General features: G+C 49.8%; 1 protein-coding gene and 1 pseudogene across 7 annotated transcripts in view, besides 7 other annotated features; both read right to left on the reverse strand.

The window, feature by feature from the left end:
* The window catches only part of RBM19 (RNA binding motif protein 19), a 149,586-nt gene that overhangs the window by 108,820 nt on the left and 12,825 nt on the right, over window positions 1-27,941 (reverse strand). For 4 of the 7 annotated variants that reach the window (XR_944848.3, NM_001146699.2, NM_001146698.2 and 1 more), the window contains exons 8-17: window positions 26,953-27,031; window positions 24,524-24,595; window positions 23,274-23,477; window positions 21,775-21,905; window positions 20,795-20,916; window positions 20,269-20,365; window positions 16,765-16,875; window positions 14,401-14,601; window positions 11,448-11,577; window positions 1,495-1,670 (exon numbers count right to left, since the gene is read on the reverse strand). Coding sequence is in view for 5 of the 7 variants with exons in the window: in NM_001146699.2 (NP_001140171.1) it covers window positions 1,495-1,670; window positions 11,448-11,577; window positions 14,401-14,601; window positions 16,765-16,875; window positions 20,269-20,365; window positions 20,795-20,916; window positions 21,775-21,905; window positions 23,274-23,477; window positions 24,524-24,595; window positions 26,953-27,031 (1,323 nt within the window). In the remaining 2 variants the exon portion in view is untranslated. The remainder of the gene's footprint in view (window positions 1-1,494; window positions 1,671-11,447; window positions 11,578-14,400; window positions 14,602-16,764; window positions 16,876-20,268; window positions 20,366-20,794; window positions 20,917-21,774; window positions 21,906-23,273; window positions 23,478-24,523; window positions 24,596-26,952; window positions 27,032-27,941) is intronic. The other 3 variants (XR_001748932.2, XM_017020281.2, XM_047429936.1) reach the window with 1 other exon arrangement.
* Window positions 5,791-6,474: an enhancer, noted in NCBI's record as "H3K27ac-H3K4me1 hESC enhancer chr12:114369155-114369838 (GRCh37/hg19 assembly coordinates)". NCBI's record gives its function as "activates a minimal SCP1, AML or CMV promoter by ChIP-STARR-seq in naive H9 embryonic stem cells {active_cell/tissue: H9 hESC(naive)}" and the evidence as "EXISTENCE:reporter gene assay evidence [ECO:0000049][PMID:30033119]".
* Window positions 6,475-7,158: an enhancer, noted in NCBI's record as "H3K27ac-H3K4me1 hESC enhancer chr12:114369839-114370522 (GRCh37/hg19 assembly coordinates)". NCBI's record gives its function as "activates a minimal SCP1, AML or CMV promoter by ChIP-STARR-seq in naive H9 embryonic stem cells {active_cell/tissue: H9 hESC(naive)}" and the evidence as "EXISTENCE:reporter gene assay evidence [ECO:0000049][PMID:30033119]".
* Window positions 6,475-8,692: a biological region, named in NCBI's record as "VISTA enhancer hs1673".
* Window positions 6,762-8,692: an enhancer, noted in NCBI's record as "VISTA enhancer hs1673". NCBI's record gives its function as "enhancer in: neural tube[6/9] | midbrain (mesencephalon)[7/9]" and the evidence as "EXISTENCE:transgenic organism evidence [ECO:0001131][PMID:17130149]".
* Window positions 7,408-7,552: an enhancer, noted in NCBI's record as "145 bp enhancer 197 fragment used in the MPRA reporter construct; PK_construct_4239". NCBI's record gives its function as "activates an SV40 promoter by MPRA in K562 cells {active_cell/tissue: K562}" and the evidence as "EXISTENCE:reporter gene assay evidence [ECO:0000049][PMID:23512712]".
* Window positions 7,415-7,593: a silencer, noted in NCBI's record as "fragment chr12:114370779-114370957 (GRCh37/hg19 assembly coordinates)". NCBI's record gives its function as "represses an EF-1alpha promoter that drives an FKBP-Casp9 reporter gene in an ReSE screen in K562 erythroleukemia cells {active_cell/tissue: K562}" and the evidence as "EXISTENCE:reporter gene assay evidence [ECO:0000049][PMID:32094911]".
* Window positions 7,471-7,488: a transcriptional cis regulatory region, noted in NCBI's record as "GATA motif; MPRA enhancer 197 activity is reduced when this motif is scrambled". NCBI's record gives its function as "necessary for full MPRA enhancer 197 activity {active_cell/tissue: K562}" and the evidence as "EXISTENCE:site-directed mutagenesis evidence [ECO:0005528][PMID:23512712]".
* On the reverse strand, window positions 23,181-23,253 carry TRE-CTC16-1 (tRNA-Glu (anticodon CTC) 16-1; annotated as a pseudogene).

Below are 27,941 nucleotides of genomic sequence, written 5' to 3' on the forward strand. Positions count from 1 at the left end.
TGATCGCTACGCATGGCTCTCCACTCAAGGTGCTGAGACAGGAGCCCTGGGAACTACGGGCTCTTCCCCGCAGGGCCTCAAGTGGACTGTGTGACCTAAGGACAGTGAACTGGCCTCTCTGAAGCTCAGTCTCCAGCCATGTTGCATGAAGAGACTGAACTAGGTCGTCTTGGCTATGACTTCCAGCTCCAGAATCCTTGAATTCAGAGGATGCTCTTGGGCTGCTGTTTGAGTGCATCTCCCAGGAAACAATGATCCCGGATAATGATGTTCCCATACCAGACCCGCACCAGAAAAAAAATAAAACTAACATTCAAATCTATCTGACATATTCAAATCTATCTACCTTTTGGATGCTACAAGTACATGCCGCCATTTAAAAGCAAAGCAAAACAAAAATGGAACCAGGAAATAGCCAAAGACAAGTCTAAGGGTGGGTTTCCAATTGCTGAAGAAGGTGAATCTTGGCTCCTTAAACGCTGCTGCTTTAGTCAGGGTATCTCTGCTGTTGGGGCTGCTCTTCTACTAGGTAAGGGGACAGTCACATCACAGAGGCTGAGCCAGAGGGTGTCAGAGGGGCTCTGACCCTCTGCCTCTCTACCACATCCCAATGTTTGCCTCCATATCTTCTGCCCACCATATTCCTACCCCTGAGGTTCAGTGGACACTGTCTTCTCTCTTGACCCCATGATCGAATTTTAGGGTTCAGAGGGATTTTTAGAAATCAATCAGGTCAATTCTTATGGCCAGCTTCCTTACCAGAACAAGTTGATGGCGATCAGCCTGCTGTTATTCATTAAAACAGAACAAAAAACTGAAAAACCCACTGAGTGTTTATTCTGTGCCAAGCCCAGACTCTAGAAATAAACAGTCTCCTGAGGGAGGTGCCACAAATTGGGGACCTTGCAGACCCCACTCCTTTGGAACTGGAGGCCCCGTTGTTTCCTGATCGCTGGTCCACTTCCTTCTAGAAGCCCCCGGCCCTCACTCAGGGCAGCCCTCATTTGGCTTTTACTAACCTTCTATGTGGAGCTCCCTGTCCTTTCATCCCCTTCCCTTTTCCCATAAATGCAAAAATCTCACCCCATCCAGGGATTCCAGGGTCAAGCCCAGACCCTCACTCACTGATGTGGCTTCTCCATTATTCCCAGCGGGCGAGAGGATTGTGCTGACATTTACTTTTGGGTATTTACATCATAGAAACAACTACTGCCTTCATATTACACGGTCTCCCGAAAGATTCCGGTATGCCTCCAAAGCGTATGTGGTAGCCCCTATCAGGGCCCCCGGCCAGCCTTGCTACTGCTCTAGTCTTCCGTTGAGTCATCTACTGGACACCCCAGGGGAAAGGGTCAAGTAGGTGGTGCTGGTTATTGCTCCCAAGTGCATATTAACACGCATCATGTTTCAGGGCAGAATAAATGCAGTGGCCGTATCAGTAGACTGGGGTTTCCCATCCCACGCCCCTCCCTCCTGGGCTGAGAAACCACTCACTTCCTTCAGCTTCTCTTCTGTTGTGTCAAAATTGAGATTCTTAATAAACAGAGTACATCCTGGGAGGCTCTCTTCTTCTTCTTCCTCTTCCTCCTCCTCCTCTTCCATCTTTGCTGAAGAGTTGTCTGCTCCTTCCTCTGTTGGATTTTCATCTTCTGGGGTTTCGCCATCAGGCACTGAACCCCCATCAAAACAAAAACAAAAACAAAAACATCAAATCCATGAAATAATGTCAAACCCACCAGAGCCCTGGGGCCAACTGCAAAAAGCCCACTAGGTAAAGGGGTTCTGCCTCTGCGGGCAGTGGCAGGAAGGGGCACCGTGATCCCCAACTTGTGCTGAGCTTCAGCAACTCTTGAGACAGAGAGAAAGTCCTGCCCCTGCTGTGTTGTAAAGAGAAAGGAATACAAAACACAGCCCTCAAATGGAGCCTTAAACAGGACCAGCTCACACTAATTTGAACTTGGAAATAAATTACCATGTGAACTGTTTTACTGAACCGTGAGCCTAAGCAAAACGTTATTTTTCCTCAAAAAACAAAAAAAAAAAAACAAAAAAAAAAAAACCAGCACTTAGTGAACTTTCAAACTAAAATGCAACTTAAAACTTTTAAAAAATTACAGAATGGGAACAAAACTTAGGAAGAGTCTAAATACCCCCTTGAACCTAAAGAATGTTACATACCATCGAAATCCCTCATATGCATTACTTCAGGAAGCATATACACAAAAGGTGTGGTTTTGTCTATACATATTAAATTCAGAGTTATGCATCACAGGGAAAAACGGAAAATACTCTATGTTCACAAACAAGAGACTAGGTAAGGTAGAGTACCACCAAAAGCTGGAAAAATATGTAGTCATTAAAAATGTCGTTTCCGAAGAACGTTTAATGACACACAACAAAGCTCATCATATAAAAGTTAGAGAAAAATTAAGATATTAAAAAAGTATATAACTGTAATTTTAGAAAATGTTCAATGTAATCCAAACCATGATCTAAGCTAGGTGCGGTGGCTCATGCCTGTAATCCCAGCACTCTGGGAGGCGGAGGCAGGTGGATTACTTGAGGTCAGGAGTTCAAGACTAGCCTGGCCAATGTGGTGAAACCTTGTCTCCACTAAAAACACAAAAATTAGCCGGGCATGGTGGTGGGCACCTATGATCCCAGCTACTTGGGAGGCTGAGGCACAAGAATTGCTCGAACCTGGGAGGCAGAGGTTGCAGTGAGCTGAGATCATGCCACTGCACTCCAGCCTGGGTGACAGAGTGAGACTCCATCTCAAAAATAAAACAAAACAAACAACAACAACAACAACAACAAAACCATGATCTGCACATTTATGAGAAAACATACATGTGCATACACACACACACACACACACACACACACACACACAGTGATCACAGGAAGGAGATGCACAAAGTGCTCCTGGTTTATTTCTGGAGGATGGCACTAGGGATGGTCGTCATTTCAACCTGTCACTGCTAGCACTTTGTACCGCTTCCACTCTGAAGGAACAGCATTTTAGGGAGAGGAAGAGCAGATGTGAAGTTGTGAGTTAGCAAGGGATGTGTGTGTGTGTGTGTGTGTGTGTGTGTGTGTGTGTCTGCAGCTCAGGGAGTTGGGAACAGGGAGACTAGACCTGCTAGCCTGCAGTGGCGCTAAGCATGTAGATTTCATTCTCAGCTGCCAGAAGCCTCAGGAAGTTGGAAGAGGGCAGTGTCATGATCTTTTCAGAAATCTTAGGAGGAAATGTGTTCAATTCGTTTCAAGCTCCCCAATTTCCCTAAGTCACATGATTAGGACCTGGAGACAAATTCCTCCTCCAAAGACAAGGCTTCTGAAGCTATTCCCATATCCCCCAGGAAATCAAACTGTCTTAGCAACTCTTCAAAGCAGTTCTCAGGCTGTGCCTTCACACCCCTCACCCTCAATGTTTCTAAGCAGATGACCAGTGACCTCCCCTAAGAGTTAAACCCTGCACCCCAGCCTGGCAGAAGCACCTGGAGGTCCCACGGGCGGGTACGCTGGAGCTGATGGAGACAGCCTGCTTCTTCTACTCACACCTTCACTTGCATAGTTCAAACTTCTTTGTGATGTAAGGGGGCTTCTTGGGGTTCAGCTGCATCCCACATACTCTCACCGCCAAGCACAAAAGATGCCTCTGTCTGTCCTGCCCTTTCTGATGCAAGCCTAATGCTTTCAAGTCCTAATTAAGCTTCGACCACTTTGTCATAAAACAACCCTTTTAAGCCCTTACAGAAACAGCTACCGTGATAATGCTGTCTCTTTAACATCAGTTGAACACACTGCCTTCCTCCCTCGGATAAGCCCAGAATCGAGACTCAGATACCAGCACAAAAAGAAGAAATCTACACAAAGGCTCCTCCCCCAACCAAGAAACTAACACAATTTACCCAACAAGAGAGACTCCATGGTGTGGCCCTTTGTACTTAAAACCCAACTTTCAAACAAAGCTGGAGGAAAAAGTACCACTAATGGTGAGAACGAAAGCTATGCAAGGCAGCTAAGACTTCAGGTCCTGGACCAGAACTTCAATGGAGATGAAAACCATGACCTTCAGCAGTGAATGATATTTCCACCCAGCTGGCCCTCCTTGGCATTTGACATCTTGGAGATTAAAGGAGAAAGGAAAGAACACTGATGAGATCCCCTGCCATGACCAGGCATGTGGTTGAATACCCTGAGTACAGTCTCACTCATGACCACAGCAGCCACATCACAGAAAACAGGGGGCCCAAGGAGAGTTCTGTAGGCTGCTGCATCTGTACCCGAAATCTCAGGCACCTTCTGGTTGGTGAGACAGGTTCATGGAAGACTGGAAAAAAATTTTATAGAGAAAAGCATAGTGGGGATGATGGTGACCAGGAGGGCTCATGGCCAGTTTAAAGGACAGCCCCTTCTTGGCACTGGCCAATTGACGGAAAGGTCAACCTAGCATGGCCAGAATTCAGATCTATTAAGAGAAGTAGGAAATCCAGCTTTACAGAGGAAATCCCATGGTTTTTAAATCTTGGCAACTTAATGGCAAGTGACTTTTGAATTAGGCAGTAGTCAGCAAGTACACCAGCTCATTGAAACCTCAGTGCTCTGCTCCCTGCATCTGGCCTGCCCCAGAGCACTGGCAAAGATGCCCTTCCCTCTTTCTGTCTCAAGGTCCCAGAACCCAGCCAGTGCCCGGCGTGGCATTCCAGGAGTTCCCAGTCTCACAAGGGTAATAACCCGGGGAGCCCAGAACCCCTCAGCATGGCTGGAGTTGACTCCACCCTGCCTCCCTGGTCTATGAGCAGTGGCTGGTGTGCTGCAAAGGGCATCTTTAAATGCCCAGGCACCTGCCCAAGGGGGTGTGATGTTTGGGTTTAGTAACACAGCTGAGACCAGTAATGGGCAGATCCCTTCCCTGGCAGATCAGCTGCCCTTAGCCCCAGCCCAGGAAGAACAAGAGGGAACTGTGAGGAAGGTGAAGACCTATTATCTGGGTGTGCAGTTGGCCTGGCATGGGGCTCACCTGGCATCTCCAACCTCCCATAAGTCAGCCTCTTACCCTCCCCTTCGGGAGGAACACCCAGCTTAAATGAAAGATGTGCTCAAAGGGGTCTGCCTTTCCTCCAGCAGCGCAGGCTCTGGCTGACCCCGGAGACGTCCGTTCTTTCCCTGAACCTTGAGTTCATAGCAACAACCGCCCTACACCTGAAACTTCACCCTGGATCCTAGAAGAACTAACAGTTCAAGGGCATCATGGTCTTTAGAGATCTGCCGGAGAAGGGGGCCTGGAAAAGACGAGGAGGGCAGGCCCAGTCCCAGCCCTGCCACAACCTAGCTGCATGGCCCTGGGTGAGTGACTTCACTGCTGTCTCTGCACCCTTACCTATAAAATAGAGCTTATTAAAACCACCTCTCCCCTAATACCAAAAATACATACACAAACAAAAACCCCAAAGTCATGCTCATTTGTAGGAAAATTGGTAAACAGAACAGTGAGTGACTGTAAACTCAATTACCAAATTTTAAAAGGACGATAATGTAATAATTATGACGAAGAATGCAAAATCTACATTTGAAGTTTAAATGAATTGTAAATTAATGTGAGTATATTGTATAGGATGTATTGTATAGGTTGTTTCAAAACCCAGCAAAGTGCAGGTGTATACAGACCACTGGCAAAGATAATGGCCCTTCCCCCTCTCTCCCACAAGGCCCCAGAACCCAGCTAGTCCCCAGCATGGCATTCCAGGAGTTCCCAAGTCTTATAAGGGCAACAACCTGGAGGGCCCAGCAGCCCTCAGCATGGCCTCCCAGGTCCATGAGCTGTGGCTGGTGTGCTTCGAAGGGGGAAGAGTTGTTATCTTTGCCAGCAGTCCTCATACACCTGCGCTTTGCTGGGCTGTTTAGAAATGCAAGTATCCACTATTTCCTCCACATGCCAGGCCATGGCTCTGTTACCCCTCACCTCACCTGGACAACTGAAGAGACTCCCTGCTGCTGTGCCCTCTGCCCCTCTCCCTGGCTCGCCACCTTCCCTGACTTCATCCCTCACCCTTTTCCCTTCTCTCCCGTCACCTCCGTTCCAAACGCACTGGTCTCTTTTCTGATGGCCGAGCCTGCCAAGCCCCCTTCCTACCACAGGGCCTTTGCACCTGCTGGCCTCTGCCTGTTCTGCTGGTCTGCTGCTTTCCCAGGCCTGGCTCCTTCTCACACAGCCTCCCCACAGGGAGCTCATCCTGTCCACTCTAGTTAAAGCAGTCTCCAGCCTGGGCCCAACCACTCGCTGTTCCATTCTTCTGCTTTCTTCTTTTCAGAGCCCTGTCCTATTCCATCATCACTGTATTGAGCAGTTTGCTCCTCTATCTGTGCTCCCCAACTACACAGGGAGCTCGAGACAGGACCCAGTCTGACTCAGTTGGCACTGAATCTCCAGCACTGGGCTCAGAACAGATCTACTTGTGGGCGATGAGTCTGTTGGGCACTCAGCATGTGCCTAGAACACAGCGATCATGAAATAGCCCTTATTGTGATCGAGAAGAGCTGTGAGGTCTTAGGTAAGAGCACAGGCCTCAGAGTTGATGGCTTCAGGTCATATCCCGGCTCTCTCCACATGTGTGACCTTGCTCAAGTCATGCAAACTCTCTGTGCTTCCTTCTTTCCATCTAAAAAGGGGCTGGCCATCATGGTGCCTACTTGCAGGACGATGATGAGAATGAATGCAGAGCAGGCTGCAAGACCTGAGCCTGGGCCTGCAGCGAGCACTGGGAGAGAACAGTTTCGTTCTTAATATTACCCTTGCTACCCACACTGCCCAGCAGGCCTTGCTGAGAGAGAAATCCAGGGGAAAATGTTGGAAATCCCTAACCCTGGGAGAGATAAGACAACCCAGTGTGGGGAGCCCTCGGCCCTCCCTCTCCTTCTCCCTGCAGGGTAAGCTGCTGGCTTCAGGCTCCCAGGAAGGCCAGCCAGTGCCAGGCGTCCGAGTCCACAGCTGGGCACCCTTGCCAGCCAGCTACTGCTCCCCGAGTCACCAGGCCAGGCTGTGTCCAGAGAGGCGTGGAGACAGCCAGGAGCCAAGGCCATGAAGCCAAAGGTCATTTTAAAAAGCACTTCTGCTGCTGGCCCCAAGTTGGGAGACAAAAGAAAGATGGGAAAGAAAAAAATAAGGTATTGTGAAACTCAAACAGATGTTTGCCAACAAAAACACCAGGAACCAGAAAAAGAGGGAAGAAGTGAGAAAGGAATCAGGGCTAGGCCTGGGGGCGGGGGAGTTGGGGGAAGGATCTAAAAGCAAGGTGGGCTGGAGGGGGTTGGGAGAGGCAGGGGAACTGTGCTTCCATCTGTAGTTAGCACAATCAAATCCAGTCACGCATCGCCACATGGGGCTTTATTATAATCAGGCCACAGAATTTACTGCGGCCTCCTCCCCTTTCCCGGCTCTCGGCGCTGGAGCTGACAGCAAAGACTGTTATCAGTTGCAAGCAGCTTTTCAGGACCTCCCCCCACTCTGAGCCCTTTATCTGGAGGTGAGGGTCTTGGTTGTGGGGAGATAAAACACGCTGTCCCCCTCCCTCGAGACTGGTACAGAGAACAGGAGAGCTTTGCAGAAAGGAAGGGGGTAAAATAAAAAAAAAAAGGTATGTCCACTCCCCTCCTACTCTTCTTCCTTGGGAGCCTGAGAAAATCCAGGGCTTTGTGGGCTGGCTGAGTCCCCCCAGCCCTCGTTGTCCTCGTACAACGGGGGAGTCGGGGATTTGGTGAAGCTTCAGGAACAATGCAAAGAGGGTGGGGGTGGGGGAGGAGCAGGTGAAAAGAACAGCACCCGCCAGGAGGGGCTGTGCATGTGCTGCGTGCAGTGAGGGCAGGAGGAGGCCCTGGAGATCAGCTCTGTGGGAATTCACCGATGACGCGGGACACAGCGGGGCTTGGAATTAGCACAGACACGCACAACTTCCCGGGCCAAAGGAGGCCCAGCGGCCGGGCTCTAAGGCCTTCTTTGTGTGAGTCATGGTCAGGCCCTGGAAAGCAGCCCCTCTGGGAGGTAGGGGCTGTTGGACACATGCTCAAACCTACAATGTAGACCCAGGAAGCAGGGGGACCCGCGGGCAGGGGGTGGGAAAACACTCTGACCGTAAACCACAGCATGCTATCTCCGTGATGCACCCTGTGCTGTGATGCAGACATTTCTGTACTCAGGGCCCACTTCTATTACTACTTGTGACATCTCACTTGTCCCCCAACAGCTCTATTGTCCTCCACAGCTCAAAAGTTCCTGGGGAAGGGGGTCTGTGCATCTGTGTGGTGTCCATCTTGATCACCCAGCTCGGCTGCTGGCTTGGGGCTGGTGCCCATGGTGAGTTAAAGACTATCCACTGTGCCATATTTTTCTAAATTTTAATTTAATTTTTGAGATAGGGTCTTGCTCTGTCACCCAGGCTGAGTGTAGTGGTGCAATCTCGGCTCACTGCAGCCTCCATCTTCCAGGCTCAAGTGATCCTCCAACCTCAGCCTCCTGAGTAGCTGGGACTACAAGGCATGCACCACTACGCCCAGCTAATTTTTGTATTTTTTGTAGAAATAGGGTTTTGCCATGCTGTCCAGGCTTGTCTTGAACTTCTGGACTCGAGTGATCCTCCTGCCTCAGCCTCCCAAGATGCACTGTGATTTATATTGCTCAGTCACCAACAGCAGCGGAAGACTGGTGATGTGCATGTGACATCCCACCACGCCCTCAGAGGGCGGGGCGGATATCATGCCCGTTTTACAGATATGGAAACTGAGCCTCAGAGAGGCAGGTGGCTTGGCCAGTCACAGAATGGCTGCTTACTGGAAATCTCAGGGCCATTTCCCCAGGGGCTCTAGGCCTCACATGATGAGGATGCCAAGGACTTAGAACCATGCCTAGCATGGCATAACTGCTGCTTTTGCTCTTGGGTTCACTCACACACACTTCCTGATCACTATCAGCCACTGGGGCACGTTCATGGGTGCTAGGATACTGCCGTGAGCAAGGTGAATGGGGTCTCGGCATGTGGAGTGGCCATTCCAGGGGCAGAGTCCGACAGAGCAACACCGGGGAAAGGAACCATTCATGACACAATTCCAGGAAGTGATAAGCATTTGAAATAAAATAAAGGGCCATTTGTGAGAGTGGGGACAAATGGGAGCCCCCTCTATTATTTTGATTGATGGTGTTATTGTCACCACTGTGTTCTGAGGCTGGGCTAACAACGAAAACCAAACGTTCAAACCTAACTAAGCTTCTACTGTGTGCCAGAGCCTTGGGACACAAAGACAAATATGACCCGGCCTCATCTTTCGAAGGAACAGAGAGGCAGATTCTCATGCATTCCCTCACTCCCTTGACACCTGTGAACCGAGCTTCCCTATGCCTGGGCCCCCCGGGGTGCTGGGTACCGGGCAGTGAAGGAGACAGCCCCATTCCCTGCCTTCACGGCTCAAAGTCTGGCTGAGATAGGAAACAAATACAAGTAACAAATAAACAGAATAAATAGAAATTGTGACAAGTGTTAGAGAAAAAAGAAGACAGCAGAGAGGGATAATCCCCAGGACACAAGGAAATGAAGAGCCTGGTGGAAGCGGTCACTTTGGGAGCCACCACGTGTCCCCAGCCTGCCTCCTGTTGCCACCCAAGGCTGCGGGAAGAGGCCTCCACCAATTTGTTTTCAGTGCCGCTCAGCCCTGGCTGATCTCTGCGTTTCAAAGGAGAACTCGCTTTGGGCCAAAAAAAAAAAACATTACTTAGGTTCAAGGGTGGTAACTGAAGTAAAAATCAAGGCAGCTGTGATTTGGGGGAGACAGTTAAGAACAAGCCAGGATGACATGAAGAGAATTTTGTTTTGATGGGAACAGGCACAGGTTTTGAAGGAGACCCTGATCCAAACTGAGTGGAGAGAGCTTAACTCATAAACGAGCAGGAGTCGGGCTTTCACAAGGTTTACACCAATCATCATTAACCCCAACGATGTGGGATGCTTCTGGGTCCTCAGATCGCAAAGGGACTGAAGGATTTTGTTTCCTGATTGAAACAGGCCTCCAGACAGGCACTTCCTGAATGCCTTGCGCTGGCTGAGCCAGTCCTGAAGATACACAGTGAAACAAGGAAATGAGAAATGTGGACAAGGCAGGGGAGGTTAGGTACAGCAAAGTCTATTCCACTAAAATCTTAGACTGGGCGTGGTGGCTTATGCCTGTAATCCCAGCACTTTGGGAGGCTGAGGCAGGCAGATCACTTGAGGCCAGGAATTCCAGACCAGCCTGGCCAATATGGTGAAACCCCGTCTCTACCAAAAATACAAAAAAATTAGCCAGGCGTGGTGGTGGGCGCCTGTAGTCCCAGCTACTCGGGAGGCTGAGGCAGGAGAATTGCTTCAACCCAGGAGGCAGAGGTTGCAGTGAGCCAAGATCGCGCACTCCAGCCTGGGCAACAGAGCAAGGCTCTGTCTCAAAAAAACAAAACAAAACAAAACAAAAAAAACAACTCTTAAATCTGACAGTGTTCCTCCCCATTTTTTTTTAACTATGAAATGTCCTTTAAAAAAAAATGAGAACAAAGGAGAGAGTAGCTGAGGACTTATTATTATTTTTTTTAACATCCTTATTTTAATAAGTTAAACAACTGGTTGCTGTATTGTGGGTGTGTATAGGTGAGTGGTTATTACTGACAAGGAAAATCGTAACATCTGGATAGAATGACCATGGTCCTGTTGGTCTTGGCTTCTAAGATGTGGTCATGGTCCTTAGACTATGAGGTCCTCGATGCGGGGGATACACTGCCCGCTGTGGGCATCTAGGAATGCGTGGGGGTGTTCCAGGTTGTCACAAGGACTGGGGGCACTCGTGACACTCAGAGGCACAGGCCAGGGATGTGAAATGTCTTGTGATTTGCAAAGCAGTCCTGACAAGAAAGTACTGTCCAGTCCCAAAGCCCAATGATACCCCTTTTCCCAGCTAGGAAGCATTAGCCAGGGGGTGGGGGTTGCCCTATCTGGCCCCCAGGGGCCACGGCTTCCCCTTCCTTTCCTGTCTTTGCAGTCACTGGACATCAGAGGGCACTGCCACTCCAAGGACATGAGAATAAGTATCTCCCATACCAGCCACCCTCCTCCATGAGCCATTCTGGTCCATCTCTGAAACAGGAAGGTTGTTTATACTTGCTCTGCTTTGAATCCTTGTTAATAGATAGTAATTTTTTTCCCCTAAAAGCTTTAATTGACAAACTAAAAGCATATTGCATCCATAATTTTGACACTGTTTTTTACAGGACATGCCCATAAAATCTGAGAGTCTGAGCCCTGCTGGTCTCTAGCATGAACAAAGAGCTTTAAACCAGAGGCTTGATAAGAAACTTCACGCTGCCCCCAACCCTCCTCCTTTCCCTCACCAGGATCCCAAGCCATCCTGGTCTCAGACTCAGCTCTTACCTGTTTCTGGCTCTGCTGGGTCCTTTTCCATGGGTTCTGAAGGTGTGTCTTGGAGCTTTTTCTTCTGTGGGGCTGTGCTGGAGAAGACGCCAACTGGAGCCCACTCCAGATAGAGGGGGACATGATGGAACTGCAGAGACAAGAGTGATGGCCCTGTGGGTCTTCATTACAACACACTGCTGGGGAGGGACTCAGTCCCATGCAGATCACAGCCCAAGGGTCACAGAGGATGGGCAACTCACCCAAGAATGGAGCCGGAAGGAGCCCAGCCCAGAGCCCTGACTGCTGTCTACTCCCTGAGGACAACATTCGGCCCCCATGCTGCATCTCAGGGTGCAGGAGAGAGGCTTTAGTCTCTGTTGCCACCAGACATATGGCAGCTCCCAGGCCCCCTTTGTGTTTTTTCCAATCAGAGTATGAAACTCTAAAGTTTCATACTTTAGATGGGAGTGGGACGAGGAGCGACCACATCACTGGTAAAGTGCAGCTCTCCAGGAGGAAGTGTAAAATACCCGTTAAGAGAACACACTTTCTCTCTATGTGCATATATCCACGGGCAACACCTGTATACGTGTGCATATGTGTGCATGCAGATGTTATTTTTTTAAAAGGATAGCTGGGCATGGTGGCACACACCTGTAGTCCTAGCTACTCAGGAAGCTGAGGTGGGAGGATCCCTTGAGCTCAGGAGTTTGAGGCTGCAGTGAGCTAGGATTCTGCCACTGCACTCCAGGGAAATCCTGCCTCTTAAAAAAAAAAAAAAAAAAAAAAAGAGGGGCCCTGGGCAGGCGGGTGATAAACAAGACACTGATGACACCTGCCTCATTAGGCGGTTACTGGGGAGCTGCAGGACAGGGGTGGGAGTGAGACTTGTCAACAAATGCCCTTTTTGAATCTTTTCAAATTTCCTACTCCATGAAAGCCTTGCAAATCAGTTATTTTCAGAGAAATACACATGCTTCAGAGTGAAACAGATTGGTGTGCAGACAGCAGGCTGCATCACTACTTAGCTGTGTGATCGTGGGTCAGGGCACCTCTCTGGGCATCAGTTTCCATATGTGCAAAATGAAGACAGCAGTCTTCTTGTCGGTGAAACAGACACTGCCCAAAACAGGAGGCCTCACCTAGTCAGTGTTCTCCAACTGTGGCTCACACAGAGAGAGCTTTTGGTGACTGGCATGTCCTCCCAAAGCAGAAGGAAGAAAGGATGGTGTCACATTCCAAAGGATGCTCACATCTCAGTCATGGGGCCCCACCTAGATAATTTTTCTTATGGGTCAGGCGCAGACTGACTTCCTGAGAGCTTAGTGGCCACAGAGTCCCAAGCTAAAGACTATTACGGGGTTAAAGTGGCAGAGAATGAGAAATCATTTCCTCACCAGCAAAATGGGGACATGAATATCTATCTCTAAGAATTGCTGGGGGGCATATGAATACCTATCTCTAAGAATTGCTGGGGGGGACATGAATATCTATCTCTAAGAATTGCTGAGGGAGACCAAGGTCTGCGAAGTGCTAAAGTGTCTTATAAACAGAAAATACTTGTAGTGGCACCGCAAGGGTATGTCTATATCTTGAACCCCTAGAAACCTGTGAACGCGCCCTTATTTGGAAAAAGGATCTTTGCAAATTTCATTAAGTGAAAGATTTTGAGATGAGATCATCTTGCATTATCCCGGCAGAGCCTAAATCCAATGACAAGTGTCCTTATAAGAGAAACAGGGAGGAAGACTGAGAGAAGAGGAAAAGCCAAGTGAGGATGAAGGGAGAAACTGGAGTGATGCAGCCATGGGCCAGGGATGCCTGGAGCCACCAGAAGCTGGAAGAGACACAGATCAGACTCCCTAGAGCCTTCAGAGGAAGCACAACCCTGCTGACACCTTGATTTCAGACTGTGGCCTTCGGAACCGTGGGATGATCTATTTCTGTTGTTTCAAGCCAACTAGCTTGTAATAATTTGTTATGACAGCCACAGCCAGCAAACTAATACACAACTGTTGGCTTTTTTCTAAACCAAGAACCAGGAGACAGCCCCACCTACAGAACTGACTTTCATTCATCTCATTGTAGCTACAGGATTACAAAAGCATCAAGAATGCTCATTCTTGGGCAAAATAGGGAGACCTTTGTCTCTACAAAAAATCAAAAAATTAGCCAGGCGTGGTGGTGCATGCCTGTAGTCTCAGCTACATGGGAGGCTGAGGTGGGAGGATTGCTTGAGCCCCAGAGTTCAAGGCTGCAGCGAACCAAGATGGCGCCACTGCACTGTAGCCTGGGTGGCAGAGCGAGACCCTGTCTTTCAAAATAAATAAATACTTTTTCAAAAAAATAATGAACACATTTAATTAAAATTAAAATGCTAATCCAAATTAACATGGGTAAAGAAAGCCAAAGAAAAGCTAGAGTCAGGCAAGGAACCAAGGCATGCTTTCTGGAGGATGGTTCAGAACTCCCTTCTCCCGGCCCGGCGCAGTGGCTCACGCCTGTAATCCCAGCACTTTGGGAGGCTGAGGCGGGCGGATCACGAGGTCAGGAGATCGAGACCATCCTGGTGAACACGGTGAAACCCCGTCTCTACCAAAAATATAAAAAAATTAGCCAGGCGGGGTGGCGGGTGCCTGTAGTCCCAGCTACTTGGGAGGCTGAGGCAGGAGAATGGCGTGAACCCGGGAGGCGGAGCTTGCAGTGAGCAGAGATCGCGCCACTGCACTCCAGCCTGGGTGACAGAGCAAGACTCTGTCTCAAAAAAAAAAAAGAACTTCCGTCTCCCATTCTTCCCATCCAGACAGGTTTTCAGGCGGCAGGGATGATATTCAGCCATGATCGTGACGGGCGGTTTAGGGTGAGCTCCCATGTGCCACATCTGTGAATCCATAGCCCACTGCACCCTCTCCCTTGAAGCAGCCCTCACTGGTCCTTCTCCAGATCAATTCTGGGTCTCCAGCAGCCCTACCTTGGAATAGGCCAGATGCCTGAAGGCCTTGCGGGCCTCCAGGGGCTCCAGGAACTCCACGATGGCAGTGATTCCGCCCTCTGGCAGCAGCACGCGGCCCAGGCTGCCAAAATGGCCGAAGGTCTCCTGCAGCTGGGCCGCCAGGGTGCCTGCCGGGAGGTTCTTGACCAGAATCACAGTCTTGCTTCGCTCTGCTGCAGCCTGCAAAGAGGAAATGCACACACATGGGACCACAGGAGGGAGGAGGGTCCCCAGCTGACACCAGCAGGGATCGTGGGGCTCTCCAGACAAGGCTCTCCATTTGGAACCTCAGCAACCAGGCACTTAGGAGGAAGACCCAGGAGGAACGACCCTCTCTGGCATGATGCTCCCTGCAAGGCTGCAAGGCAGCTCTGCAGAGGGGGTAAGGCCTGGGACTCTGAAGCTGGAGCTTCTGGATCAAATCCCAGCCCCTCCTCCACTCCTGAGCAGGGCCGCACTTTCCAAGGCTTCCAGTGGCTGGGGTCTGCATCTCAGTACCAAGGCTTTTTTTCCTGAACTACAGACCGCCCACCTGCTACCACGTGCAGCCAGCAGGACGTGCTGCAGAGCTAACGCCCCCTGGGAGCAGCCCACAGCTCTCAGGAGTTGCTGCACTCCTTGTCCTTGGGTGGGATGAGACTGAGGTATGAGTGCTGCAGGCTTTCCCCTAGGCAGAGCTCCAGGCAGCCACAGGGCAGCGTACTGCAGCAGCACACTCTGCACCCTGGGCTCCTTCCCTTCCCTGCATCCCTTTCTCACCAGAGTTTTCTGCACTGCCCCCAAAACTGTTTGCCCTTGAATCCTTGTCTCAGAATCTGCTTCTGGGAGAACCAAAACTAAAAGACTAAGCTATTCAGCCTTGAGAAATGTACTTAACTGTGCCTCAGCTCCCGCAGCGACAGCAAGGACAGAGCATTTATTTCACAGGATCGCTCCAGGAAAAGTTTTCATTAAATGGGTTAGTAAAAGTACATGTAATATGAGCACTCTGAAAACGTTAGCAATAATTTTATTAAAAAATAATGTTGGAGGAGGATAAAAGAGCCAATAAAATATAATGGAAAAATCTAGGCATATGGCCTATCTGGGAATAAGTCTTAGCTCAGCCGCTAATGTAACCTGAGACCTTGGGTCAATTACCTTGTTTCTGTGGGCCTCAATTTTTCTCATCTGCAAAATGGGCTAACAGTCACACCCATCTTATAGAGGCCACACAAGGTTACTATGAGGATTGAGTGAGGTGAGGGGAGTGAAAACCATCTGCAGGTGGGAAAGGCTGGGCACCTGTGGGCCTTTTAGGTGCAACTCAGGCCGCAGTGTTACAGTTAGAGAGACAGACTCTGGGGCCAGAAGGCCTGTGTTCAAACTCAGCTCCACCATGACTAGCTGTGAAGTGACTTCACCCCTCTGTGACTGTGGTTCCTTCTGTAGGGTGGAAGCACAGTAGAGCTGCTTTCACAGAGTGGCCATGTGAATGAAATGAGCTAATTAAACATGTAAACTTAGAAGAGTGCTTTGGTAAGTCTTAATAAATGTTAGCTATTAGTATATTTATTTTATCCATCTATCTACCCATCCATCCATGCATCATCTGTATTCATCCACCATCCATCCATCCATCCATCCATCCAACCATCAAGCCATCCATTCATCCACCATCCATATTCATCCTCCATCCATCCATCCATCCATCCATCCACCCATCCCCCATACATCTTCATTCATCCATCCTCCTCATCCATCTTGAGGTAAAAATGTGAGGCCTGGGAAGGCTGTTGAAAGGGCTGTTTTGGGAGTCAGAAGCCCTGAGTTTTAGTCCAGGCTCCTCTCACATATAGACTGTTTGACCTTGTAAGTCACCTCCCCACTCTGAGCGTTGGTATCCCAGATTGTAAAATGAAGGGGTCTCATGATGTCTTAGGGGCCCTCTAAGCTGCAGTCATCCATAAATCTAAGACCTGCTACTTGCTGGAGAACAGGCACATGGAGGTGCTGGACTCTTCCCTGCTAGGTTCAAGAAGGGTCAAAGTCCCCGAACAGATAACAGATGCTCTGGGAAGCCACTGGGTAGGGGAGTGAGATGTTGGGGGTGCCGATCTGTGTGGGGGAACTGTGGGGTTGTAGGCAGACCTCTTGTACATGGCTCTGGACAGACAGAATCAGGGTCAGATAGGCCACTTGTCTCAGCCCATGTAACATTTCTTCTTTTCTTTAGAGACAATTTAGAAATCAGTAATAGTCCTTAGAAGGCCAGATCCTTAAATCCATCTGCATCTCCCCTGGAAAGGCCATTCTCGACTCTCCAGTGGCTGCTGGCTGGCTGGCGCCACCGAGAACACCCACCTGGCTGAAGGAATCCAGGCTGACCCCGTTGTCTATGAGAAAACGCCGCACTTCCTGGACGAGCTGGGTTTCCCCCAGAGCCACGCGCACGGCCACGCTGCCCTTGGTCTCCTGTGGAAGAGGAAAGGAAGAGTTCTGGTTGGCTGTCGGCCAGGTGACTTGCTGGCCCTCCCATCTCCCAACAGCCTGAAGAGGAGGCTGGGATGGAAATGGATTCCACGGATGCCGCTCACCTTCCTACATTGATCAGATGCCCCCAACGGCTCTGTGCTTTTTTTTTTTTTTTTTTTTAAGAAGGACAGGGTCTCACTCTGTCATATCTGTCCCCCAGGCTGGAGTGCAGTGGTGTGATCATGGCTCACTGCAGCCTCAATCTCCCAGACTCATGCAATCTTCACACTTCAGCCTCCCTGAGTAGCTGGGACCACAGACGCACCCCACCACTTCCAGCTCATTTTTATATTTTTTGTAGAGATGGGAGTTTGCCATACTGCCCAGGCTGATCTTGAACTGCTAGGCTTAAGCAATCCACCTGCCTCAGCTTCCCAAAGTGCCAGGATTACAGGCGTGAGCCACTGTGCTTGGCCCCCCAGTGGCTCTGGCTTCCCAGGTCTCTCACAGTAGATCTGGGACCCCAGGGTCCCCTCTCCTGCACTCCCTCCCCTCATCATATGGGTCTTTGCTGCCACCCCATGCTGAGCTCATCTCACCGCAGGGCTCCTGCAGTTGTTGACCTTGGCCTCCATGGCTTTTACCCCACATTTCCTTGCTCCATTCAGTTTCTGCTTAAGTGTCACGTTGCTGACCAGCCCACCCTTGCGGTGACACCCTATCCCTCCCTTGGCTTTTCTGTTCTCTGCCCTCACCAGGCCTGCCGCACTGCACCTCTGCTAATGTGTCAGTGTCTTTTCCCTCATCGGAAAGCACCAGAGGAACCTCACTGCTCCTGTTTTGGGGGTTGCTGCATTCCGAGAACTCAGAGTACTCGGGGGATCTGAAGCGGCTGCAGGCCCCCAGCTGGCCTGGGTCTAGAATTGTGCCATCCAACACAGTGCCACAAGCCCCTCAGAGCCCCTCAGTATGTGAAATGCAACGCGACACATCCAAAGTGCTCTCCGTGGAAAACACACACAGAATTCCGTGAGGAAAAAAAGACTACAATAGCTTGCAATTTTTTTTTTTAACATTGTGCATATGTTGAAATGATAATATTTTGGACAGCCCAGTGGCTCACGCCCATAATCCCAGCACTTTGGGAGGCTGAGGCAGGGGGATCACCTGAGGTCAGGAGTTCGAGACCAGCCTGACTGACCAACATGGAGAAACCTCATCTCTACTAAAAATACAAAATTAGCCAGGCATGGTGGTGCGTGCCTGTAATCCCAGCTACTTGGGAGGCTGAGGCTGGAGAATTGCTTGAACCCGAGAGGCAGAGGTTTTGGTTAGCCGAGATCACAGCATTGCACTCCAGCCTGGGCAACAAGAGGAAAACTCTGTCTCAGGAGGGAGGGAAAATGTCTTGGATATACTGAGTTACATGAAATATATTATTAATATTAATTTTGTCTGTTTCATTTAGCCTTTTAAACATGTGGCCACTAGACCATTTCCAACTACACATGTGGCTCACATTCCCTAATGGACAGCACTGACCTTCAGTGCCTGGTGGACAGCAATGGGCAAGGAGCTTACGAGCCAAATCCACCCATGTCAAAAACATTCCCAGGTTTGCCTGGGAAGAACTCAGCTGCCTCTAACTCCAGATGCATGTTTTTTTTTTTTTTTTTTTTTTTTGGGGCAGACTCTCGCTCTGTCACCTGGGCTGGAGTACAGTGGCATGATCTCGGCTCATTGCAACCTGCCTCCTGGGTTCAAGCGATTCTCCTGCCTCAGCCTCCCAAATAGCTGGGATTACAGGCATGCACCACCACACAAGGCTAATTTTTGTATTTTTAGTAGAGATGGGGTTTCTCCATGTTGGCCAGGCTGGTCTCGAACTCCTGACCTCTAGTGATCCACCTGCCTCAGCCTTCCAAAGAGCTCGGTTTATAGGTGTGAGCCACCGTTCCCAACCCAGATGCATGCATTTTAAAAGAAGGTATGAGGATACAAAATATACAAAGAAGGGGGCATTTTCAGGCTTTCTGCAAAGTACCTTAGACAAAGTATACTTTGTACTTCATATATATAAAATATACTTTATATGACTCCTGCCTGTAATCCCAACACTTTGGGAGGCCAAGGTGGCATGATCACTTGAGCCTAGAAGTTTGAGACCAGACTGGGCCACATAGTGAGACCCCATCTCTGCAAAACTAAAAATAAATTAGGCATGATGGCATGCATCTGTAGTCCTAGCCACTCGGGAGGTGAGGTGGGAGGACTGCTTTAGCCAAGAATTTGGGAGGCTGCAGTGAGCTATGAGCTATGGTCATGTCACTGCACTCCAGCCTGGGTGACAGAGCAACTCTGTCTCAAAAAAAAATTATATATACATGTGTATATATGTATATGAATGTGTATATATATGTATATATAAAAATGTATATATATATACACATTTATATACATATACACACACACACACCCCTACTTGAATATACCTTTTAAAAAGTATCCTTTTATAGAAGGTACAAAGCACATATAGGATCCAAAGTAGAAAGAATACAAAAGAGCAGATATGTCAGCTGTGTAAGTCTAGAGATCTAATATAAATGTACAACATGAAGACTAGAGTTAACATTGGAGATTTCTGCTTCTAGCAAAATCTCTTGTAGTGGATTTTAGTTGTTTTTGCCACACACACAAAAAGGGCAAGTGTGAGATGATGGAAATGTTAATTGGCTGGCCTATGGTAAGCATTTCACTATCTATATGTCTATCAAAACATCATGTTGATTTTTAAAGCTATGTGATATGGAGGAGCTGGATGGATGGGGAAGTCAGAAGGAATAAAGCTAGACTTGGGAGAGAAGGAGGAACGGAACCCAGCGACCCCCTCCTCTGGCTTCAGAGACTGGGGCTGCCTGGGCTGCGGAAATCATGAGACATGGTTCAGAGCCAAGGCACCGGAGTTGGCCAGACCTGGTGTCCTCCCACCTCCACCTCTTTGCAAGTCTGTGACCTTGGACAAGTTATTGTGTCCCTGGATCTCGGTTTCTTCATCTGGACAATGGGATACAACAAACCCTACTTCACAGGGCCATTGTGAGGAGTACCACACACTAATTCTCAGGAATGTCACCTGTCAACACCACTGTCAATCACATTCTCCGGGGTGGCTCCACATAAGGGCATGAGAAGCCAGGGCTGGAGCCTGGCTGGGGATGTTTCCAAAGGGAGGGCTGGGAGAGCACCTTCCATTCCAGAGGCCTCTGGGAAGGCCCAAGAGGAAAGCCCTGGCGGCCCCAGCCTCACAGCCAACAGCAGTACAACGAGCCTCCTGCTCTTTCTCCCCTTCAGTTTGGCCCAGATCCCAGAGAGGACTGGTCGGCCCTTACTCACGTGGTCAAACACTTGACTCTTGGTGGCGTTGTACTTCTGTGCGATGGCATCGGCCACGGCATTCGGCCCCATGAATAGTGTGTTCCAGTTGTGAGAGCTAAGAGGCAGAGGCAGAACAGGGAGATCAGACCGCAGCTGGATGAGGGGAACTCGTTCTCAGACACGAATCCTGTAAGAAATGGGCTCCTAGGCCTGCCTATCTACATGCCCCCAATTTCCCTATCATGGGCTACGTATACAGGGCCTGAAGACAACAAGACGGATGATGACAGGAACCATCCCTAACAGTGCTTCATCTGTGTCAGGGACTAAGAACTTCACATACATTCACTCATTTAAACCTTACAGCACCATAAAAGTAAGGCACTACTATTATTCTCCCATTTTACAGATGAGAAAACTGAAGCTCGGTAAGGTATGAACTAAACCCATCAGGAGTCAGAAGACCCAGGTGGCTTAGAAAGGGCAGGGTGAGGGTGGCAGAGGGTTGGGGTTGGAGCTCAGTGGTTTCAGGGGCACTGAGGACCTGGCACTGTTGGCTTTGTCCTGGGCCTCCTTCTTCTTCTTGTAGGACGACGATCCCAGGGCACTGGCATCCTCGCTGGCTTCCTTCTTGATGGTAGATGGTAACACGTGGAGCATCCTGCCCTGGATGGGAATGACGGGAAGGGAGTAAACAGAAGCCTTGCCTGTAAGCCCTGCTTCCTGCCGAAGGATGTTGGCTTCTGCCACGAGTAAGCTGGACCCAGCACTGAAACCCTGACCAGAGGGTGGGAGGGAGGTCAGGTAGAACGTGGCCACTCTCTTCCCACCTGACACAGGATCCTGATGTCGTGAGGGGGCCACCTGACACAGCTACACACACAAAACTTCGATCAGTGTATAACCCCGCACCCGCAGCCCTCTCCCCGCCTCTCAAGCCTGCATCGCATCCTGTCCCTGCACCAGTGAGTAAGAATGTGAGGTCCATGCCGGTGGGGCCAGGTCTGGCCTGATGGCAACAAGGGGATCAAGAAATCATGAATAAATCAATGAATGAATGAGAAAAGGAAAAAGGGTGATGATGAGGCAGCCTGGGGCTTGAGGATGTATGCTAAGTATATTACTTGGTAACACTGGGAAAAGAGAAGTTTCTTTTATTCCACTGTGGCCATTTTAATAGGTCCCTGTCAAAATTCTTTTCTTCTTACTCCTCTTCTAAGGTGGTATCTATAGAGATGGAGAGCAAATTCATCCATTCAAGGAGTATTTTTTCAGTGCCTGCTAAGTGCCAGACAGAGGTGTAGGTGCCACAGATCAGTGACCAGAACAGATCAGACCGTGCCCTCACACGACTTCTTACTCTCCAGTGGCTTGAGTGAGGCAGTGACTTAGCATGCCATTGCACATTTTCTTAGGCCCACAAAGTGGACGCCCGTGTCCACACACATACACACACACACACACCAGCCTTTCCCGACCATGTGAGCCCCACAGCCTCCTGGCCAGCCCAGGACGGGGCCTCACCTGGAATACCTGCCCGTCCACCTCCGAGTAGGCCTTCACAGCGTGCTCAGGGAACATGAAGGTGATGAATGCAAAACCCTTGGGTTTCTTGGTCAGGCTGTCGATGGGGTAGTGGAGCTCAGACAGGGGACCTGAGGACAGGAGAAGTGTCGGTCTCTGGTAGGCCGCAGCCACTTGGCCCCAGGGAAGAATGTGGTGAGCACCAGCTGTGAGCCAACCTCACAGGTCATGGGTGTCATTTCCCAGTCCCCTACGTGTGTCTATCCTAACAGCAACAATACCTGGGCTGGAGCCCAGCACCACCACCTATTACACATGAAGCTTGCCTTGAGCAAATCACTAAGCCTCCCCATGCCTCAGTCTTTTCATCTGTAAAACAGCACAACAGTACCTAGCTCATGGGCTAAATGCGTTCATGCGTGCATAGTGCACTAAACAGTGCCTGCTAGAGTTAGTGCCAAAGAAGTGTCTTCCATGATGATATTAGCATCATGCTCAAATTAAAGCACACCCTTTCTGCATTGGTTTCAACTCTGAATGCCAGGGTGTGACCGCGTCCCCTCTCTGGGTCTTTCCTTCCCAAATGGACATTTGCAATATATCGACAAATGCTTCTCCCCCTCAGCCCACCCATGAGGTGTAAGCCGGGATGCCAGCCTGTGTGAAGGATATGGTGAGCAGACTGGTGAATGGAACACACAGTTCCACTGGGGCAGGCCCCAGGCTTGGAGGTCAGGTCAATTTTCCTGATGGCATGCTCCACTCAGGGCATCCTTACCCTGACAACGGGGCCCACATCAGGTGTTCAACCTACATCTCCAATCCTCCACAACCTACAGCTGGCCTCTGAATAGACATGGGGAGACACTGCGGGGATCTCAAAGGTATCAAGACCTCCCCTCATCCTGAACCCTCCCTTCCTGCCCTTCAACAATGGTAACTCCACAAACAAACACAGCCTGTTGTGACCAAGCTGGACTACAGGCCCTCAAGCCCATGGCCTGAGAAATAACAGCAACAACAACACTAACCTTGACACTATCAAATCTATTTGGTGCTCAGCTTGGATAAGAAGACTTTACATAATTAAGAGTTCAGATACGGAGGAACGCCGTGTAGGTATATTCATCAGGTGAAACCTGTACAGTTACTCAATTCCAATACCGAGTGGCATGACTTTGGACAGCAAGGGAGTATCTCAAAAAAGTCATCCGAATTGCTTCAATTCTGAATTTGGAGAAGTTAGAGAGTTCAGACAGCAAAGGATGCCAGTGATGCTATTAATACCTTTTACTTCCTGCCCTGCGAATCCCTGCATTCATCATGTCACTGAATCCTCACAGCAGCTCAGGGGTACTTGGTCCCATTTTACAGATGAGAAAACTGAGGCAAGAGATGTGGAGTCGTGTGCACACTGGGACTTGAACCCAGGACGTCAGAGTGAGAGCCCGGCTCCCATAGCCGCTGGGCTATCCACGGCCCGGAGGCCACACCCCTACCATATTTGGAGAAGAGCTTCTCCAGATCCTCCTCGGTGCTGGTGTAGGGCAGGTTCCGTACAAAGAGCCTTCCGGATTCGGCCAGGTCCTCCTCCTCTTCGTTCTCCCCGAGTATCCGGCCTTGCCAGGATTTGGTGGTATTCTTTGGTGCACCCTTGGTGGTGGGGACGTTCTTTTCCCTGAACACCTCGATGTAGCGCCCACCTGCAATGAAGAGGAGTCAGGGCTCCAGGGGGAGGCCTAGAACTTGCCAGCAACTCCTTGCTGGTGACTCCAAACTCTTCTCTGCTGCCTTCCAAAAAACACAATCAAGGTGGCAGATGACAGCACCCAACACCTGCCCTGTCACCTGAGGCGGCAGCATAAGCCAAGCCAACACCAGGCCTGAACCCAAATCTCACTCACCCTGCCAGTTCAGCTTCAGCCCTGGAGGGAGCCTGCCTGAGTTATCCCAGACCACGGTGATGCATTCTCTAAACTCCGGGCTGTATTCTCTGGCACTGCTTGCTGTTCTGCCTTGGGAAGGGTCTTAGGTGACAGCCCAGCCCTGGGTACTTACCTGCTGATGATTTATTTGCACGCATAGCCCCTGTGCCTGATTAGGGTGCTATTATCACTGTATCCTGCACAGGCACTACTAGGTGCTCAATAAATACCCACCTCCTGACTTGCTAACAAGATTCCCAAGGCTCTCCATCCTTCTCTAACACAACTCATGTCTTCACTGGGGTTGATGGCTGGATTCAAATCACTTGTCTTGGCCAGGGATTGGTCAAAGAATACATCCCTGGGTATTGTTCAGAAGACCTCCCAACTCCAGGGAATTTGCACGTGCTGTTCCCTCTACTGAACATCCTGTCCGTAGAGCCAGAGCCTACACAACTGTAGGTTTGTGTCCCAATGTCACCCCTCGGTGAGGCCAAAGCAGACAGGACCCTGTTTAAAGCCAAGCCTCCTCCAATCCCTGCCCTCCCCAGGACCCGTGCCTGCTGTGTGTTTCCCTGTAGCATGGATCACACATTTAACCACCTGTCTCTCCCTCCTAAGTCAGTTTACTCTCTGTCAGCCCCGAAAGGGCAGGGATTTGGGTCTGTTTGCTCCCTGCCATGTCCCCAGTGCCTAGAACAGTGTCTGCAGAGACACTGCATTCTTGGTGGTGGTGATGGTGCTGGTACAAGAACGTGTAAAGGAAATGAAGGAACGAAGGAACGCTGTAACACAGAGAGAGCACATGGCCAGGGCTTCCTTACCCATGTACTCCCGGTTGCATTTCAGAGCTTGCTTCACTTCCTCTTCATTGCTGAAATCCACAAAGATGTATCCTGACAGAGGACAATGACAGAGGTAAAATCTGCAGGCCTTGCAGACACTTGTGGTGGTCCCCAGAGGAACACCCATACTGTGCTAGGAGCAGAAAGTGAGGGAGAAACCTCTACCTTGGTCAGATCTCCAAAATACAAAGGGTCTCCCTCTCTCTGTCTCCCACCCACAGCCAAATTTCCCTCTGCAGGGAGTGTACAGACCCCAGCCCGGTGTCATGGATGAAGATGCTGAATGCCAGGAGTTGGAAGCCCAGGAGGCCTTTCTGTCTCCCTCCAAGCCTCACCCCCATCCCCCGACTGGCACCTGCTCTAAGCCATTCTCTGGAGAAGGGCCTGTGGCTACAGCATGAGGACCCACCTAGGCGCTGGAAGCACCTTCTCCACACCCACTCTGCTCCTGGGCACCTGAGGCCTTGACTTGCACAAAAAAACAAGCAAATGGGGGAGTCTTTCCTCTAGCATGAGAGGCTCTGCTTCCTGACCTCTTTGGGCCTCAAACCTGTGAGGCAACAAGGTGAGGGGTGAGGACCATTCCCCTGCTTTTCTGGAGCATTAAAGAAATACTCCGAGGGGCACTCGGCTAATAGCTGGCAATGTCTAATACTTGGTCCAAAGCCCTTGGGTTTTCTGCCTTTAATCACAAGGCTGTTTAGATTCTTTCTGTGACTCCTCCATGCCCTCCTTTCCTATATCCAGGCACCTCATCCATCCCCATAAACATCTTCCGTCCTTTTCCCTCCCCCTCTCCATGGCCACACCCTAGGCCCCATCACCACTGATCCTCCCTTAGACGATGGCAAACGCCTGGCTCCAGGACCCATTCTTCACCTGCCAGGGACCATCCTAAATGTGATCACTGCCCTCCCCTGCTCTAAGCTCCCAGGGGCCCCTGCATCCAGACTGAAGCCCACAATCTTTTTCTTTTTGAGATTGGGTCTTGCTATGTTGTCCAGGCTGGATTTGAACTCCTAGGCTCAAGTAATCCTCCTACTTCAGCCTCCTGAGTAGCTGAGACACACAATCTTTAATGAGGCCCCTAAAGCTTAAGGGGCCCAGCCTGCCTCCTCCCCAGCTCTCCTGCAGGGGACATTCAGCTGCTTTTCAACATTTCATGCTTGGATGCCGGCTCTCTCCAACTCTGGGGCCTCCAATATGGTTTTCTCTTGGGTCTGACAACTCAGATATGTTTCTTCCTGCTCCCTCCCTGGTCTGTGAAGTGCCATAAAACCAAGGGTACCAGCACCATCACCACCACCATCATGAATATTAACAGCAGCTTTCATGGAGTGTGCAACAGGGGCTCAGCACTGCTCTAAATGCTGTACACAGAGCCATTCATGCAACTTGGTGAGACAGGTTTACCTGACTGCACACACACACACAAACACACACACACTCACACACACAAACAAACTGAGGCTAAGTCCCTTGTCCAAGGTCATAGGGCTCCTACCTGAGATCTGCACTTAGGCAGAGCCCTTTACCCTGACCTCATCCTGCCCTGTAATCAGTCTGCAAGGAGAAGGATGGGTGGCTGAATGGATCAGCTGGGTAAGTGGGACTTCCGTGATAAGAGGAGAGTTGGGGAAGAAATGCAGAAACATGACAGTGAGGAGACCATCCCTCAAGCACACTTTCTTCCCCAGATGTCAGCCTAGGTAGATCTCAACTGCTCTACCCAGGCCAGTGTCTTCTTGCCAAAGACAGAGTACACATCCAGCGGCTTCCAGCCTCCAGCCTCCCCGCAGCTACAGGGCCTCAGTGTGGTTCTCTTGAGAAGTAGCAAGTCAGCTGCTGAATCTCCCAGTGTCCTGGCCAGCAAGAAGTAGGCACGGACAGGTGCCCACCTCCCCGAGCTCAGACACTCTGCCTTCCAGCCACACTGCTCATCTCAGGATGACCAGAACCCAGGGCTCTGAAGCCAAGGGAGGTGCCTGGTTGGTTGCCCAGAGTATAAACCTGCAGGGAGGGTGGCACGGGGCAACACCACACATGCTCAGCAACTCAGAGCCCTGCCCACCAGCAGAGCTGCCTGTGGACTTGGCCTAGCAAACCCCAGGACCTGTTGGCATTTGTTTCAGCGTAATAGGTGAGCCCACTGAGATAGGCAAAGGCTAAGATGAGGAAGGGAAGGATGAAAAGCACAGGTGAGAACTCCATCCCTATACACTAGGCCACCAAAGGCTGGGGCAAGAGATGCAGCCTTAACCTGCCCAGGCTGACCACATCCACACAACTGAGGACCACAAACAGGAAGAAAAACGGGTGCCCTTAAAACTTCTTCCTTATTCAAGTACCCCAACCTTCAATCTTCACTGTCTACCCGCCTTCCCACCTGGAAACATCCTGGATCTTACCTGTTTTATTCCCATGAGCGTTTCTCACAATTCGAATGGCCACTGGTTTCAGGGGTGCCAGGAATTCCATAACATTTTTCTGTGAGAAGAAGTTTTTTTCCCCTTACCAACCACATAATAAAAGTACAACCCAACGAAAAGACATGGGGCAAATTTCTAAATCAGAAAGGATTACAAAGTGTTTCATTCTTTAGTTTTTCTCTTTCCTTATACGTATCGCTTCTCCAATTACCTTGGAGAAAATGTGAAAAAGAAAATTGGAGGAGAAATGAGTAATATAAATATAAAATAGCAGTGTCACTATCAGCGTTAAAATAGCGATGTCACGATCCGCATTTCAAGGCACTGTTTCCCCCCTAGATAATTGTATATACTTGGGATTAAACCTGGCTTTTTTCACTTCTCATTAAGCTTGAGTATTTGGTTTTTGTGTATTAGTTTTGCAAGTAGCCACCTAGTGGTTTTGGTTTTGTTAATTAAAGCATGTGATTTTCTGAATGGTTGATACTGAAAGAATTCTGACAAAATTACAAGCAACTCAGTGAGTTTAATAAAACCTACATGCTTGCTACTCTGAAGTTTGATAAGTTGTAATTCAGATATTTATAAACATAGAGTACCAGAACAGATAAAGACTTCAAGAGAAAAAAGGGCAAAAGACATGATCGGGCACTTTCCAAAAGAGAAGATATATTGGCCAGGTGCGGTGGCTCACGCCTGTAATCCCAGCACTTTGGGAGTCCAAGGCGGGTGATCACCCGAGGTCAGGAGTTCGAGACCAGCCTGGCCAACATGGTGAAACGCTGTCTCTACTAAAAATACAAAAATTAGCTGGACATGGTGACAGGTGCCTGTAATCCCAGCTACCCGAGAGGCTGAGGCAGGAGAATCACTTGAACCCGGGAGGCGGAGGTTGCAGTGAGCTGAGATTGCACCATTGTACTCCAGCCTGGGAGATAAGAGCGAAACTCTGTCTCAAAACAACAATG

Source organism: Homo sapiens, chromosome 12, assembly GCF_000001405.40.
Source record: "Homo sapiens chromosome 12, GRCh38.p14 Primary Assembly".
NCBI lineage: Eukaryota > Metazoa > Chordata > Mammalia > Primates > Hominidae > Homo > Homo sapiens.